Source organism: Homo sapiens, chromosome 8 (genome assembly GCF_000001405.40).
Source record: "Homo sapiens chromosome 8, GRCh38.p14 Primary Assembly".
Taxonomy (NCBI): Eukaryota; Metazoa; Chordata; class Mammalia; order Primates; family Hominidae; genus Homo; species Homo sapiens.
This window is the reverse complement of record NC_000008.11, coordinates 71324740-71341978: the sequence shown is the minus strand read 5'-3', so window position 1 is coordinate 71341978 and position 17239 is coordinate 71324740. Positions and strand designations below refer to the sequence as shown.

Below are 17239 nucleotides of genomic sequence, written 5' to 3'. Positions count from 1 at the left end.
CCATATATTATTTCTTTTACAAAAAATTTAAATTAGTCTAGACCAACCCATAAGTAATTGCACATGCTGCTATTGATATATGCTGTACTTTCCATGAATAGCAGGTTTTGAAATAGACTAATGTTTCTTTTTGGCCATGTATACTCTTAAATTCAAGTTTAGTCTGGATGTGTTTATTTGGTTTTCATAAGATTGTACCAGGTGTACCATTGAAGAGCTAATGTTTTTTCCTGCCCTCCTTTAAGATAAAGAAGATGACCTTAACTTTACTTTTTGGAGAGATAATGATCATATGCTATATAGCCAATCCAAACATAAAGGAATGTCTTGTTTTCTAAATGGGAATTAACTAAAGAAAACACATTGAGTTCATGGATATATGCACTTTTAGGTGAAGCAGAAATAATCAAATGGGTACTTGTAATATTGAGTCAATCATGCATTTAGAGTGAGATGTCAAATATATAAATTTAGCAATGTTGCTTTTTTCCACTTTCGTACTTTATGCAACAATTTTATTCTCTTCACATCTCCCTTGCTGCCCCTTTTTAAATCATTTGACACAGTTTCTAAAAACACATTTCTATTTCTGCCTCATGGTTTGAGAAAGAGACTCATGAAATCTGTGAGTGATACTGTCATTGAATCCAACCCGTAACATAACGTTACATGGTTGTGCTTTTGTGATCCTCTACAGCATAATTGTGTTGCTTTATAAAGGGTCCTTTTAAGGCTTATTTGCAGCAATACCCAACATTTACTTTTGTGGGTCATGTCCCATGAATTATTACAAATTCATGGTAATTTATTTACCTTTCTTTTTACTGATTCGGGCGGGATCCTCTCTAAACATACAAAAATTTCAGTAATTGATAGTTTATGCTAATGTGTCTTCTCCAAATAGTACACTTTTCAAAATAACATAACTGACACATGTCCTGTAAATGAGACACTTTGCAAAGCCTGCATATCAGTAGACTGAGTGATGATTTGGAGGGAATAAACTGTCATCTTGTTTTTAGCATAAACAGTGTTTTGAATTGTCCTGTGCAATGTGTCTAGTAGTATGAAGTCAGTTGTAACCTGTCTTTTAAGTCAGTTTATCTTTATCCATTCCCTCAATAAATATTGAATTTCAACGCAAGCCAAACGTTGGGCTAAGTCCTGTAGAGATACAATCATGTAAATTAAAAAAAAATGTAGCTGAGTTTTTTTGGTCTTAGAGGATCATTTTAGGTCATGAAGCAGTTTATTATATATTGAAATGCATAAGACTTTCCAATATAAAATGAGGTAGAAGAGAACATATATTCTAAAGGAGTCACAAACACAGACATAGTTCAAGGAATAAGAAACCACCCCTGAGTACTAGATCACAGAAGACTTAAGGAAACAGGTGGGATTTTAGTTGAACCTTGAAGAAACTGTGGGATTTAGTCACGTGTAAAATTTGTAGAATATTCAATGTCAGAGGGAAGGGTACTACAAAGCTGTAGACTTGAGGAAGCATTAAACATCTTAGGATGCCAGTTGGTTTAAATGATGTCCAACTTATGGATATATGGTTCTTTATCTATAAATGGGGATAATAGTGCCACACAGGAAAGTTGGGACAACTAGATGAGATTGTGTATTTTTTCAGTACTCTTGTATTCTTGCAAATTACTATTTGTCATGCAAATAAAAAGTGTATGAAAGAAATGAAATGAAAAGTAAAGCAAAGAAAATAAGAAAAATTCTGTGTCAGAGTATGGGGGGACCTTAAATACATGATTAGAGATTGGGAACTTAATTCAGAAGACAGTGAAGAACCTGCTGAAGACCCTACAGCCAGGAGCGACTCACGCACATCTAAATTATGAAAATATAAATATTTGTTTCCAAAGCAGGGAGAGTAGAGGCTGAAAGTCCAATTTGCTAACTTTCATAAGAGAAGAGGCAGAAGGTAATTAGGATAGTGGCTGTGAAATTAGAAAGAAGACACTTGTAAAATATTAGAGTGGTGGAAATTATAGAGTGTGGCCAGGACAGAAATGATTGTGAGAGAAAATGCAGACAAGAAGGAGATGAAATTTTAGAACCACAGAGTAGTCAAAGGAAGAAAACCTGGAGAAAAAGCAATACATGGGGGAGAAGAGAACTATTGCTATGTTATATTGAACAATGATAAAAAGAAGTATCAAGGAATGAGGCTCATTCTATACCATGGAGGAAAGTTAGGATTAAGAAGAGTTTGAACTGGGCAATTGGGAAAGTCTTCTTGGTAAAATAGGTTAAACCCTGCTCAAGGAAAGGAAACTTTCATTGAAATTAATCCATGGAAAACTGGGAAATGTTGCAGGAAGATGAAGGATTTAATGCAGCATCAACATTCTTTAGAAAATAGTTGGTGTGGAAGGGAAATAGTTGGTGTGGAAGGGCCAAAGATGGTGAGGGATGAGGTATGTCTCGGGAGCGTAAGGAACGTGGAAAAAACTCAGTGGAAACAGTTTCAGACAGTTGTCAAGAGGTGGAAAAGGGGGTCTGGCAAGCAACAGGGTGACTCAAAAGAATAAAGACAGAATACAATGAAGTGGACTTGGCCAGCATGTATGGCACCTGTTCTGCTATACTCATCCATCTGGAACAGCAGCAGAACAGTGAACAATGAGAGATTGCCCATCCTGAGATTAAAATTTGGCAAAAAGAGATGCTAGGAGAAATGAGACCACACAGCATCCTAGGATGGGAGCTAGACGTGGCTGGCTCTGGGTTTCAGGCTAGGCAAGGGAGGCTGTGAAGCAGGAGTCGGAGAATAGATAGGGATTTGGAAAGATGGCTTGTTCTGATGAGGGGTAATAGCAACTAAGTGAATGAATGAGGTCAAAGGTGATATTTCAAGGAGGTAATGCAATTCCAGGCATGGGTGCAGCTGAACATTTTAATAACCAATATGGAATGAAGGTAAGTCTTGTTGAAGTAGAAGAGATGAAGGACTCATAAAGAGTGGGAGAGGGATGGTAAACTGAGTTTTTGAAGTCCCTGCATAATATAGTAGGAAACAAAACTAAAAGGAAGATTGAGTTTGTGCCAAGCAAAGACAAGCTGTGCTTACTGTAACAGTTTGAGAAAAGTTGTGAGATGAGCTTAGGTGCTGCTGGGGAGGGCCTGCAGCTCACCAAGGCTGCTGCCTTCCCTGCGCGTTGCAGCGTGAATTATTTGTAACACACAGGCTGGCTCCTAGTCCAGCAGGCAGTACTGTCCTTTGTGGGTGAACTTGCTTTATTAAAACAGCCCACTTATTTTATGGTGAAAAATATAACTAATCAAATGGACGAAATATTTGTTTCTTCTGAATGGTCTGACATCTTCTGCAGATGTAGAAGTCTTCTGTACGACTGGAACCTTCAAGGTATAACCAGAAGTTGCTTGATAAGCATGGAATCATGGTATGATGGGTTAGTGGCATGATCTTGATAGCTAATGTCACCGAGCTCCAATGGTCTGATAGATAGATCCACACTGAAATTTATGACGAAGGAAGATGGTTTTCTCATTTTTATGGGCCAGCCTCCCCTAAAAAATGTCAGAAAAAGATGGCCACATTTTCTCCTGGAATTATTGATCACAATTGCCATGTAAACCATTCTCCTTCTATTAGCCTGTTTCTTCAGAAAATATACACTGCCTTTTAATGATCAAAACATAAGTTTTCTTCATATAATCACAATTTGGTCCTGCCTTCTTGAGTTATTTCCAAGTTACCTTGATTTAATTTTGGCTCTCTTGAAGTGTGGCCTCATGGCTGATCTTGGATACATCCCTTTACTTCGGATTCTTCTAACTTTCTTTTAAAGGGGAAGCTTAACTTTAATGTGAAGTTCATGATACATTTGGACCCAGTTATCTATATCTTAAGAAAGACTTTGATTTGTCGTAAAGAGACACTATAGTGATAGAGTGACTATAAAAGCATGGGCCCTGGACCTAGCACAGTGTGGAATGATTTAGAAGCATTTATCTTTTTTTATTCTCACCTGAGTATTCACCCACACTTACAGATGAGGAAGCCGAGGCATACAGAAGTTGGCTAACTTCCAGATTCATGCTGTTAGATGCAAAGCTAGATTGAAATTCAACTGATAGTTCCAAAGCTGGTGCTTTTAACTGTTCTATATTGTTCCTGGTATTACTCCACAGGAGAAAGGAGGAAGGCATTCAGCCCAACAGAGAATATTGCTACTGCTACTTTTAATGATGATGATGAATATAGTTTTAGCTCCTACTTTATATCAGGTACTTTATGTACATTTTTATGAATTCTTATTCCTGTAATACAGATATAATTTTAAAACATTTGTATATGGAGATAATTAAGATCAAGGAGATTAAATCACTTTTAGAAAGTCTTATAGTAGGTAACTGGATTCTCTGACTTCAAGACCAAAACTCAAAGGCATTGGTGGAGGGAAGATCATTTCATATCTAGAGAGTAGCAAGTTGCCCAGCATTGCTCAGGCCTGGAGTGCATGGCCAAGTGAAGGAGTTGGAGGAACAGGGAGATTTAAGGGATAAAAGGGAATTTTTGAATATTTTTAAAGGATGAATATATTTTTAAGGATCAGAAGGAAGATTGGAAACTTAGAATGGTAGAAAAAGAGACTCGTGTGGGGGCAAAAGAGAACAAAAGTTGCTATTTTCTAATAGACTGGAGTCATATAATGAAGAGTATGGTGGAGATAAACTAATCCTAGTTATTTAAAGGGGAACAGATCATTCATAGTTTTTCCTTTTTAGATGGGTGGCTTAGATGGGATAGTTGTTCTCAGATGTTACAGTACCTTAAACCTCTAAGACCAAGAAAACTCAGTGTATGTTTTTAAATTCAAAGCGTTGGAGAGATGCCGTATTACATCATCTACAGCATATTTATAAATGTGGTGGTGCTAGTGGGAATGGGATGGATAAAATTTTGGTGGCCAGAGATCATTCTCATCTTTTTAACTCTCTGGTGGATGTATGTTTGGCTACAATAAAGCCAGAAGTAGTCTCTGTTTCTTTGGCTTTCATTCAGAAACTATTTTACATTACAATAAATCACCAGTCTTTAGCATCAGGTCCCTGGTGATCAAAGTATTCAATTACAGTACCTGATAAAATCATGAATATCCTGGTGGTTATTTTATGTACATCCTCTTCTCTTCAACAGTGAGCCTTTTAAAAAACTGGGTTCATTGGGAAAAGGGAGTCTTTATTCCTTAGTGTATAGATGGGTATGTTTGAACAATGGTGAAAAGCAGTGTTATTGGGGCCTAAAAGAAAAGTATCCTCTTCCTTTCCTTTCTAACCTTTTTGCCTAGTTTTAATGGATTTCAAGTATAATTGAATGTGCCTCTTGGGAGTGAAGGCTACATTCGATTAAGCTAATCATATGGAGAATAGCTGGTGTCAATTTTAGGGGTACAGAAACAGGAGTGGTTTTGGTGTAGTCAAGCATTCACAAAGTAGTTGCATCTATAGAATCTGTTGAATCATAGCCCTTAGATTTGACAAAGACTTGGAAGTAACCTTGATTGACATCTCACGCAGTGGAACAATTTTTTTCTTCACATCTTTTCCTGACAGTTGGGCATGAAACTTCTATGTGAGAATTTCCAGCAAGTTCACTAGGCTAGGAGCCCTAAGACCGTAGGAGAGCAGGGACTTCGCTTTCCACTCTATCCCCAGTGTGTGGCACTGTGCCCCAGCAGCCTTGTTGTGGAGTAGCTTGTACTATTGGAAAGTCCCACTTATTACTATTTCTTCAAGCTTTAGTCATGGGCCTTGGAGTCAAAAACATCCCAAGTTAAATCTTATTTCTGCCCCTTACTGTGAGTCTTTGGGTGACTTCCTAACCCCTTTGGTTTTAATGTGTGCATGGGAAACAAGAAGACAATACTGACTAGGGAGTTTGTCTATTCTGAGAACTATTTGTAGAGTTGTTTAAAAGGATGAATTATAATGTCTATAAATAACTGACACATAGTAGGCACTTTACAGGACCTGTTTCCATGGCACCTAATTCTAATCTTTTGCTTAGTATGTTGTATTTGATTCTGAGTTCAGAATCTTAGTGGTGATCTGTCTGGCAGAGAGTGAAATAGAACGATTGCTTTATGTGTATGGGGCATTATATTAGGTTTTGTGTGTGTGTGTGTGTGTTTTTAAGGAGGTAAGGTATGATGTGGACAGCTAAGTAAGAAACTTAGAAACTGTGTGCTAGCAATGAAATACTGCCTTTCCTGAAACGATGGCAGTGTAATGGTGATGAAAAGCAAAATCATTAGGTTGTCTGGTGTCATGGAGAGGGAAGGGAAATACAGGCTTATGTCAGAATTTTTAGCATCAACAAAGACTTCTAAACCCAAAACAACTGGCAGAAAAGTGAAAACTTCAGTTACAACTTCAGTTACACCATTGTTTGGTCTACATTAAAACAATCCAGCAGAGTGATTTCCATTAGTCTCACGATTGTTGTTTTCCAAAGCTTGTTTAGAAGCCATCTGAAAAATTATTTTTTTAAAAAGTGACTATCCGATGCATCTATTTATAATGCTTATTTTTAAACTACTCATTATGCATTAGGAGAATATTTGAAGATCCAGGAGTTATGTGAATGTGCCTTTTCCCTGGTGTTTATAACAGATTGGTGATGTTGAGAGGAGGAAAAGCTGCATTTTCTCCATCATCTTTTCCCGCTTCAAAATGTATTTGCTTTATAAGAGAGGCCTCCCCAAATATTCTCTCATGGGAGCCTTTGTTTTAGGAAGCATGTTAATGATTTTTAGGTATCCCTTAAAATATTACTGCATTCTTTCTGAAAATCTGTTACTAAGAAATGAATACCTTCCACAAAGCAGGGTAGGCAAATTCTGATGATGGCACTTCACCAGTAGTTTCTAAGGAAAACAACGATGCTACTTCTTCTTTTAAAAAAATGTAAAACTAGAGAGAACAAAGGCAGATGTGCTGAAGTTGTTGGCTTGCCTCTTTGGTAGGGGAACAATAACACTGTCACCATATCAGGGGAGTGGATTGCTTTAGAGAATCTGTAGCATAAATCTAAAAGTTATCTCACAGCACAAAGGGACTTGACCAAATATCATGTATGTATTTCACAAACTGTCTGCTATCAATACTGTTTTGAAATAGAAAACTTTGTTTCTGCTTCATTTACATTCAGTTATGTTTTTGGTACGAAGCATACATAAAATATTGGTGAATTGGCAGTCAGATATGGCTGGGTGGTAATGATGGTGCATTAAATCAAGCCCTTGGTTTTTTAGCCATGCTGGAGAACCCAGAAGGTGTGTGTGTGTGTGGTGGGGGAGACCTTGCCCTTGAGCATCAGGAAGACCTGCTGGTGTCGACACCCACTTACTTCCTGCTTCCCCACATCTTTCTGTTCTATCCTTTTGACTCTGACCAAATAACAGATTTTTTCCACAACCCCAGGAAATGATTTTATATCACATCATGTAGATTTTGAGAGATAATTTATCAATAAGTAATTCAGTAAATATGTAAAACAATGATGAATTTAATTACTTTTACAGTGCTGCTTTTAAAGGGTAACTTGTGACAATAGATTGTTTCCTAAGGGGAAAGAACTTAATATGTGAATTTTTTTAAAAGGAGTCTATTTATGCTTATGATATATGTTCAGTTAGGGAAAATGTTTTTTGAAATGATTTTCTTGTCATTACTCTGAATGTTATATCTTCTCTTCCATGTCTTTACAAATAACTATTAATTCAATATCGATGTATGTTGTTTATTTTTGTAGTTAAAACAGAGCCAATGAGCAGCAGTGAAACAGCTTCAACGACAGCCGACGGGTCTTTAAACAATTTCTCAGGTTCAGGTAAGGAATAAATATTAGATTTTCACATCAACACCAAGCATTTTTTCTAGTTTATTCATGTAATGTCCCTGTGTATGTATATGTATACATGTATATGTGTATATATGTGGGTATATACGTACTTATGTATATATACATATAAAATAGCTTTGCTCAGAGTCACATATTACCAATTCTGTTTTTATTCATTGTGAAGAAGTGGTTGCTGAAATGTTGCTATCCAATAAATGGGGTATAAAAAGGGTGTTGTTCTTCTCCTTTCTTCTACTAATTATATTTACTGTGCTGGTGACTCCTCCCCCGTTCTCTCTTAGATGTATTATTTTTCCAGGTCTTCAAATTTGGTTAGGCAAAATTTGGTGTTTTACGCTTCTAAGCAGACTCGCCAAGTCATCTTGCTAAGTAACTGTCATATCAACTATAGATCTAAATTAAATAGACTCTGTAAAGCAGCATTAAGTTCTTCAGTTAGTTTTTAATCTCCTTCACATTAATAAAACCTGCCTCCAATAAACAGAATATCCAAGTTTCACAAGTGTCATAATGAAATTACTGACAAGAAAGTGACTGTGATCATAAGGTGGTTGTGAGAATGTGATTATATGTTTGCCAAGTCACCCAGCCCAGTTTGGAATATTTCATTTAAAAATTATTTATATCAGAGGTAATTCTTAGAATTTTGACTTTTTTTTAATATTGCCTGCTATAATTTTAGCACCTCTCTATTGGAAATGCTATAATTCCATAAAGTTGTGATTGATTTACTCAAGCTCTCTGGATCATTTATTTAATACATACCACAACAAAAAGAAATTATAAATACAAAATGAAATGCAAACACACAACTTCGATACTAATGATACCAGGTGAAAGTGATAAAAATTAACAAAGGGTGTAATATCCATTTGTTCTTTCCTAAAACATTTATTAGAATTTGACTTTTGCTTGGCAATGTGGTTGGTGCCATGCTGACTTCATAGGTGTATGAAAATGGTCCTGATCCAGGGCTTAGTGGGATGAACAAATGAACAGACCATCACAGTACAGTTTGATGATGCAGAGGGAAGCCCAGAGAGCCCAAAGAACACCCACGAAGGGACCTAGTGGAGACCAGGTTGGGGTGGGGTGATCAGGGAAGGTGTCTTGGAGTGGATGCTCAGTCTTAAAAAATGAGTAGGAAAGAAGCACTGAGAGAGAGATGCTGGACAAATGGACACTCCATGAAAGGAGACAGCAGCACAGAGGGCGTGGATCTTTGGGGAACTGTTAATGGTTCAGGGTTCCTGGTGTGTGTACAGTATGAGAGCAAGGGCATGTTGCAGAGGGAGGCAGGGGCCAGAGTCTAAAGAGGCTTGTGTGAGCTTCATGGAATTTGTGTTTTCTCCTGTGTGCAATGGGAGGCATCAAAGGAAAGGGGTCGCATGGTCATATTCATAGGACAGAATTATGGCCACCATGGCAGGATGAATTAGGGGCAGGTGAGCTGAAGTGGAGAAATCAGGGAGAGATTTTTTTGTATTAATTTGAGCAAGAAATATTGAAGACCTGAAATAAAGCGCTGGCAATGGGTATGGGAAGGTGATGGATTTGGTGCATTTCATTTACGAAGTAGAATTTATAGTGGGCAGTGACCAATGGGTATAGGGGTAAGTGAGGCAGAGAAAGAAGTTAAGAGCCAGGAAATGCAAGAGGAGCACGGTTGACAAAGGAAGACAGGAACCTCAGTTTTGGGCATGTTGACTGTGAGGCAGCATCTACCTGCAGATGCCAAGTATATTAGGGTTTGGAGCTCAGAGGAGATTTGGCATGGGAAATTTGAAGGTATACAGGGAGTTAAAGCTAGTGGGGTAAACAAAGTTGAAGACAGAACTCACGGAAAGCTAATATATATGACATGGGCAGAGGATCAAATGAAAACAGGTAATTCGGGATAAAGCAAGTTTTGGCCAGGCATGGTGGTTCACACGTGTAATCCTAGCACTTTGGGATGCAGAGGCAGGAGAATCATTTGAGCCCAGGAGTTGGAGGCCAGCCTGGACAACACAGGGAGACCTGTCTCTACAAAAAATAATTTTTAAAAAATTAGCTGGGCGTGGTGGCATGCGCCTGTGGTCCCAGCTACTAAGGAGGCTGAGACTGGAAGATCACTTGAGCCCAGGAGTTCAAGGTTGCAGTGAGCTATGATTGCACCACTGCACTTCAGCCTGGGCAGCAGAGTGAGACTCTGTCTCAAAACAAAAACAAAACAAAAACAAAAAAGCAATAGTGTTGAACTGGAAGCAAACACAGGGAAGAATTTTAAGGAAGCACTGTCAATAATGTGGATCTGTACACAGCTCTTGAGAATTATTTTTAAAACGTGTCTTGAGAAAATGTTAACTATATTAAGAGAAAAAGCAAGTTATGAAAGAGTCATATTTTCAGTATAATCACAGTTTTGCTTTCTTAAAAAGGCATCTGTATGTACATATATGGGCCTGTGTATATGGGTCTAAAAATTAACAGTGATTCTCTCTAGATGGTGGAATATAATTTGAATATTATTCCTTCTGCTTTTGTCTTATTTTCAAAATTTTTACATTATATATATGTGTATATATATATATAAAACATTTATACTTTTAAAAAGTAATACTTTTAAAGTCCAAGTTAAAAATCATGTGCTACAAAGAGATAATCTTTTTGAAAATATCTGTGGAAAATAGTATTGCATCACTATCACTGTTTTTCCTGATTTTGATAACTGTACTGTGGTAAAAGAATTCTTTGTTTTTAAGAAATACACATAGAAATATATATATGTATATATATGTGTGTGTGTGTGTGTGTGTGTGTGTGTGTGTGTGTGTGTATTTATTTATTTATTTAGAGACAGAGTCTCACTCTGTTGCCCAGGCTGGAGTGCTGTAGTGTGATCTCGGCTCACTGCAACCTCTGCCTCCTGGGTTCAAGTGATTCTCCTACTTGAGCCTCTCGAGTAGCTGGGACTACAGGCACGTGCCACCATGCCCAGCTAATTTTTGAAGTTTTAGTAGAGATGGGGTTTCACCATGTTGGCCAGGATGATCTCAATCTCTTGACCTAGTAATCCACTCGCCTCGGCCTCCCAAAGTGCTGGGATTACAGGTGTGAGCCACTGCACCCGGCCAGAAATATTTATAAGTAAAAAGACATCATACACAAAACTCCAACAGAATGTGAGGTACATATGCGTATGCATACACACACACACACACACACACACAAGAAATCAAGGATAAAGCTAATAACATGTTGGAGAATTTGGATGAAGGCTATCTGGGAAGTTTTTGTGCTGTTCTTGCAACTTTTCTGCAAGTTTCAAATTATGTCAAAATTGAAAATTAAAAAATTACAAGCATCAATGGATTAGCCTGTGGCAGTTTCAGTAGATGGATGAACTTTATCCTTGTCCCTGCTGGACCACATGACCAACTTCTGTGTCTCCAGCATAGCTCTTAGCAGATAGTATGTGCTCCTAAAGTTTATTGAATGAATGAATGATTCATGAATAATGTGGGGGAGTGAAGATGAGGAAAAGAAAAATGTCTTTCAAGTACATAGTGCTAAAAAGAAGGGAAGGAAAGGAAATTCGTTAGAGAGAGGGATGGCATTTAGGAGGTCAGGGTGGTTTCATACAGCTGACACAAACTCAACAGAGGCAGAGGTTAGAGGTATGGGTAAGTAGGGGGATAATTGATAGAGGAAAGCCCCTGATGGGACAGCAATAGCACAAATCCAAAACAGAAGCGGATCAGGCTAGAAAAGGAATAACTTTTCCACTGAAACATTGGGGAAGATGCAATATGAAGTGGTGCAGATGAATTTGAAGTGGATGAGGTGGCAGTATGTTGAGGGAGTTCCTATCCGATTCTTCAGTTCAGACCCTCCAAAGGCTCCCATTCGGCTCTACGGGTAAAAGCCAAATCCTTAAAAAGCCCACAAGCCCTATCATCATCTGCCTCAGAGACTGTCTGACCTTGTTGCCTGCCCGCCTTGCTTACTGTTCTTCCTCCCATGTGGTAGACATGCTCCCCACACAGTGTGTTTTTTGCTGGCAGTCCTTTCCCTGTACACCTGCCTTACTCTCCCTAACTTCGTCTGTGTTCAAATCTCACCTCATCGAGGCCCACCCTGACCACTTGACTCGGTGCAGCTCTGCTGTTCTACTTCTGTTCTACCGGATCAGGTTACTCCCCACTCTTTCCTGCCAATAATTATGAGCCTTTTGCAAATGCTGTCATTTTCTTGTGTATTATGTTTAGTTTTGGACTCTCACCCCACCAAAACATAAGCTTGTGTTGGCAGGGATTCTGTCTTGTTTGGTTCACTTCTATATCCCTGACACCTACAACAGTACCTGCCACATATTAGGCACTCACATATTTGCCTAATATGTGCCACATATTTGAATTAAAGAAAACATGAATGAACGAATGATGGCTTCTACTTTTTCCTCCGAAGTGACTCAAAATAAGAGTAGTGATAGGCATGTGAGCTTGAAGAGTTGGAGAAGACTGAAATTGATGTAGTGGATGCTGGGGAAGTCTGAGGCTGCCTAGAAACAGAGAATAGGATGGACAGTAGAGCTGAAGGTTGAACAAGGCTGGAGCTAATGAAGATGGGCCTGTATGGTAGAGTGATTTTTCTCTACAAGGGCTTAGCAGACCATGTGAAAAGATGCTGGGCTTGATCCAGGGTCAAGGGTTTGCCAGATAGAGCATGAGAGAATATGAAATTAAGAAAATTGAGAGTATCAGTAAAGGAATGGTTTAAAATAATTTTTCATGTATTCAAGACGGGTAGAAAGAAGAAGGTAGGGGCTAATACCGTGAGAAAAGATAGGGATGTCAGGGGTTCTTCATCTCTTGATGAGGTTGGAGAACACATGAAATGAGAACAAAGGAATGAAAATTCTAGACAGAAATGATATTCCTTACTTAAACTCAGTGAGGCCTTCACCACATGCCTCTGTAGTTAGTTCCGCACCCTTCATCACTACTTATGGGATTAATCCTCGGTCTCTGTCTTCCTGCTAAACTGTAGCCCTATGAGAACAGAGATTCTGTTTGTATTATTCAGTTGCAGTCCTGATGGTCTTCATGGCATCAAGCATACAGGAGATGCTCAGTAAATGTTTGCTAAGGAAATTAATGAATTGATCAATGTGATTGTGGCTTGAGACCATGGAGTGGGGAAAAGGGGCCAGGATGTGGTCTTGAGCTTGATGACTGAAGTGGAAGGCCAGGGTTGAGGCCTAGACAGACTGAGAAAAGCAGTGGATGTATAACCCAGGGTGATGTTGGGGAGACATCACCAAATCCTAAAGTTTTTGATAAATGTAGGCAGTGTCCAGGATGTGGGTCATTCATGGAAGTGTTGAAGATCTGTCATCAACCCCAGAGAAAGAAAGATTTTTATGGGAGAGTAGAAAACCAATGGTTTGGAAGAAGCAACAATGAAAATATGTTTTCAGGTCTTTGTGACATCTGGAATCTGAAAGAGCAAGCAGCCTCAACTTGAAAAAGATACACAGGAGAAGCGAGGGCCTTGGAGAAGGGCTTAGCTGAAGGTGAAGGGGTAGGTGGTGGAGAGGCTGAAGCTGTAAAGGATCTTGTTTTCCATAGTTTGATTCTCCATGTTGAATACAGCGGAAAGAATCAGGAGAGCTGAGGGGGCTGGGTGAAGGCATAGGAAGCACAGAGCACCCCGGAATCGGTATTCTCTTGTTTTACATTTTCTTTTCTCTCTCTTTTATAAGTGATGAAAGAGACAAAAATCAACATACTGGAATGGCTATGAACAGGGCTTACGGTTTGTAAAAGAAAGAAGTTTCTAAGCCCTTAACTCCAAGCTGTCCTTTAGCTCTGTGGCCACCACTCCTACTTTCTTCTCCACAATGGCTTAAAAATTCACATGAACTTGGCTGGGTGCAGTGGCTCACACGTGTAATCCCAGTACTTTGGGAGGCCAAGGTAGAGAGATCACCAGGACAGGAGGTCAAGACCATCCTGGCTAACATGGTGAAACCCTGTCTCTACTAAAAATACAAAAAATTAGCCGGGCATGGTGGCGGGCACCTGTAATCCCAGCTATTCAGGAGGCTGAGGCAGGAGAATCGCTTGAACCCAGGAGGCGGAGGTTGCAGTGAGCTGAGATGCACCATTGCACTCTAGCCAGGGCGACAGGGTGAGACTCTGTCTCAAAAAAAAAAAAAAAAAAAAAGAACTTAAAGATTCCCGCCCTAACTATTATTAGTGTCTTAACAAAATAGACAGTGAGGATAAAGAAGAAATGGAGCCACTCTGATGTTGGTGATTGCTATCTCCACCTGTCTTTCAAGGAGCCCTAGCACCTGCAAGCCTTGAGGACATAGTGACTCACTCTCACTCTTCCAGGGAAGCCCTCAGGGATCTTGGCGTGGGGAGAGTGAAAGAAAGGAAGAAAGGGGAGGCTGGTTTTCCAAGGCATGTGGCTGAGTTGAAAATTGCAGCATTGTTTATCATGGTTTCCAAATATCGTAAAGTGAGGCCCATTTACTCTTTATCAATGAAAAACAATACTTTAATGATTTAAATTTTAAGAACAAGAGGGATTGCAAACAAAGTGTTCTTAATATCTTTACTGCCTCTGCCATTTCTACAAAGCCTAAATTTGTTAAGTTGTTAAGTAAACTGCTAGTTGATGTCTGGTGATATTTGAAAATTGAAAATAGAAGCAGGAATGCTTCTGGAGGAGAAAAAATATTGTGTAACAAATATGGTTTCTCTTTTTAATTGTTCATAAAAGGTATACCCTTCTAGGTCTGATTCGTTCATTCAACAATTATTTATTGAGCACCTGCTATATGCCAAGCAATGTTCTAGGCAGTGGGAATATAGCAGTGAAGTGGTAGACAGGGTCTCTGCCCTCATGGAGCTTTCATTCTTTGGGAGAGACGGATAATACATGGGTAAGTGTTAAGTGCTGGTGTATGTAAATAGACAACTAAAACTGCTAAGAAGAAAACAAAAGCTGATCAAAGAATTTAGTAAAGGAATGAATGGGAGTCTCTTTTAGAGGACAGGGCATCTGAGCAGAGATGTTGGTGAAGGGCAGCAATAAGTTTGGGTTCAATGAAATGTGATAGGATAATGGAGGGCTTGGGGTTGAGGGTCAGGGGGTTTGTGGCATGACTTAATTTATGTTTTTGAGAGGTCACTGTTTGATGCATGGAAGGTGCTTTATGGGGTGAATGGTGACATGGAAACAGGGAGACCAACGTTTTCCTGGCTCAGAAGAAAGATGACTGTGTTAGTTCACATCTTCCTAGAAGAGCCACCAAGGCAGGATTAACTGTGCCAGGATTTTGTTAAGGGAAAGGAGAGAGGGAAGGAAGGGAGGTTAAGTTAGGTGGGAGTGCAGTCTCAGGACATTTCAGCAAGGCCATCAGAGGAGCCCCAGCTCTCCCAGGAACAGGCCTGCCTTAGTATCCCTGGTGCATTGTCACTGGTCGGGTTAAGCCCTTTGAAAGTGTCCCCTCACCCCCGCCCTGCATGGCATGGATGGATTGCAGAGCTTAACAGCTAGGCCCTTGTTCAGCTTCATCCCCTGCAGCAGAAGAATCAGGAGGTGCTTCTTCTGTTTGCCACAACATTGGTGACTGGAACAGAGTGATAAATGAGAAGTGAGAAGTTGTAAGGTTTGGGGTATATTTTGTTGGGAAAACAGACTGGACTTATGATAAAAGGGTAGGTGGGGTTTGAGGGAAAGAGAAGAGTCAAAACTTACTTCTAGGCTTTTGACCTGATTGGCTGAATGGTGTTGACATGAAGGAGCCTGGGGGAGGAATGAGCTGAGGACCTGCCAATTTCGAGAGTTCTTTTGCTCTTCCCAGTGGTCCCAAGATTGTAATTATTATTCATTTTTGATTCTCCTCTCCCTTCCTACAAAAAGATTGGAGGAGATTCTTTCTATGTTGGACAGAGAATGGAATAATTGAAACAGATGAAGAGATATTGGTTGTCCGTATGTTCCCAAGGCTCTGTGGCATATGTAATTTGGAGTGTTCTAAGGGTAAAAGGACCATTTAATTTACCTTGATAGATGATCTGGGGTCATTCCCTTTGTTTTAGATGATTTTGGTCCTGTGAAATTAAAATTAATCTGAATTCCTGGGTTACTGTTTAGAAAGTTTAAAGTGTTTCATGCCATTACAGAAAAGGTACTTCAGGTATAAGATGGTAGATTTTTGACTACAGGCCACACAGAGATTGTGCGAGCCATACAGAGGTTTGGATTTAAAGAAAGCCCAAAAGATATGACTTCTTATATGGCCTTTGACACATTCAGTAATTTTAAGCACACCTAACTAGGTGAGTAGTTATAAGACAGCATTGTGGGTTCTTCACATTTATTTCATAAGGTATACTACTTACTCCAATCTATATTGCCACAGAACTAAGTTAGGTTTATTATGTATGTTTATTAAAAAAACTTAAAATAATTGAACCATTCTTCACGTTATTGTGGTTTGAAACATCTACTTTGCTTATGACCTAATTCTCACATTCTTTTTAAACAAATAGTGTGTGTTGATTCCCTCTACCACATACCAGGCCCTGTCAGGTGCTGAGGAAATAGGATAATAAGAAGACCCTGGCCCCAGAAGCCCATAGTTAGCAGAGGAATGTAACCATCTATACACTACATACGCTAGTTATAATGCAATGTTGGGGGTGCTACATTGCCAAGGATTGCAATGTTCCAAGAAAGTACAGAGAAGGAAGACGTTATCCTAAAGGGAAAATGATGACTTAGTCTCTGTGGTGGAATGTTTGTCAGGCAGAGGAAAGAAGAGCTTTACAAGGAAAATGAGTCTAGTGTGAACAACAACCAAATCAGACATAAAAGTACATGCCATGGATGGGCAGTTCTGAAGTCTGGGAGCCTAGATAACCTACCCAGGAGGGAGTTGAAGCTTGAATCTCTTTGTATTCTGTGCCAAGGAATTTGGAATTTATCCTAGGGATAATGTGCACTGTCGAATGATTGTGAGCTAGAGAATGGATATGAAGAAGTTTCCATTTAAGAAAGAACATGGTGTTGACAGTATTGAGAGTCAGAAGGCACAGGTGGCCATCTCTGAGTGGGACAAAGGGACAGTGGCTCTGTAACTGTTGCAGTAGTCCAGGTGAGACATCATTATTGGGACCTAAACCAGGACAGGGATCCTGAGAGTATGGATGGAGTATGCAGGACAGACCAACAGGCAATTCTGGATTGGGGGTCGGGGAGCCACCTGAGTCATGAAATAGAGGGGAAAACAAGATGGCTGTGAAGTTCTAATTTCCACGCAGG

At 39.4% G+C, this 17239-nt stretch overlaps 1 protein-coding gene across 26 annotated transcripts in view, besides 1 other annotated feature; it reads left to right on the top strand.

The window, feature by feature from the left end:
* EYA1 (EYA transcriptional coactivator and phosphatase 1) overlaps positions 1–17239 on the top strand; it is a 350662-nt gene that overhangs the window by 206116 nt on the left and 127307 nt on the right. For all 26 annotated transcript variants that reach the window (XM_047421528.1, NM_001370336.1, XM_011517484.4 and 23 more), the window contains one exon: positions 7805–7882. In XM_047421528.1, the coding sequence (XP_047277484.1) occupies positions 7805–7882 (78 nt within the window). The remainder of the gene's footprint in view (positions 1–7804; positions 7883–17239) is intronic.
* Positions 5647–5716: a silencer, noted in NCBI's record as "silent region_19277". NCBI's record gives its function as "represses an Ori minimal core promoter by ATAC-STARR-seq in GM12878 lymphoblastoid cells {active_cell/tissue: GM12878}" and the evidence as "EXISTENCE:reporter gene assay evidence [ECO:0000049][PMID:35858748]".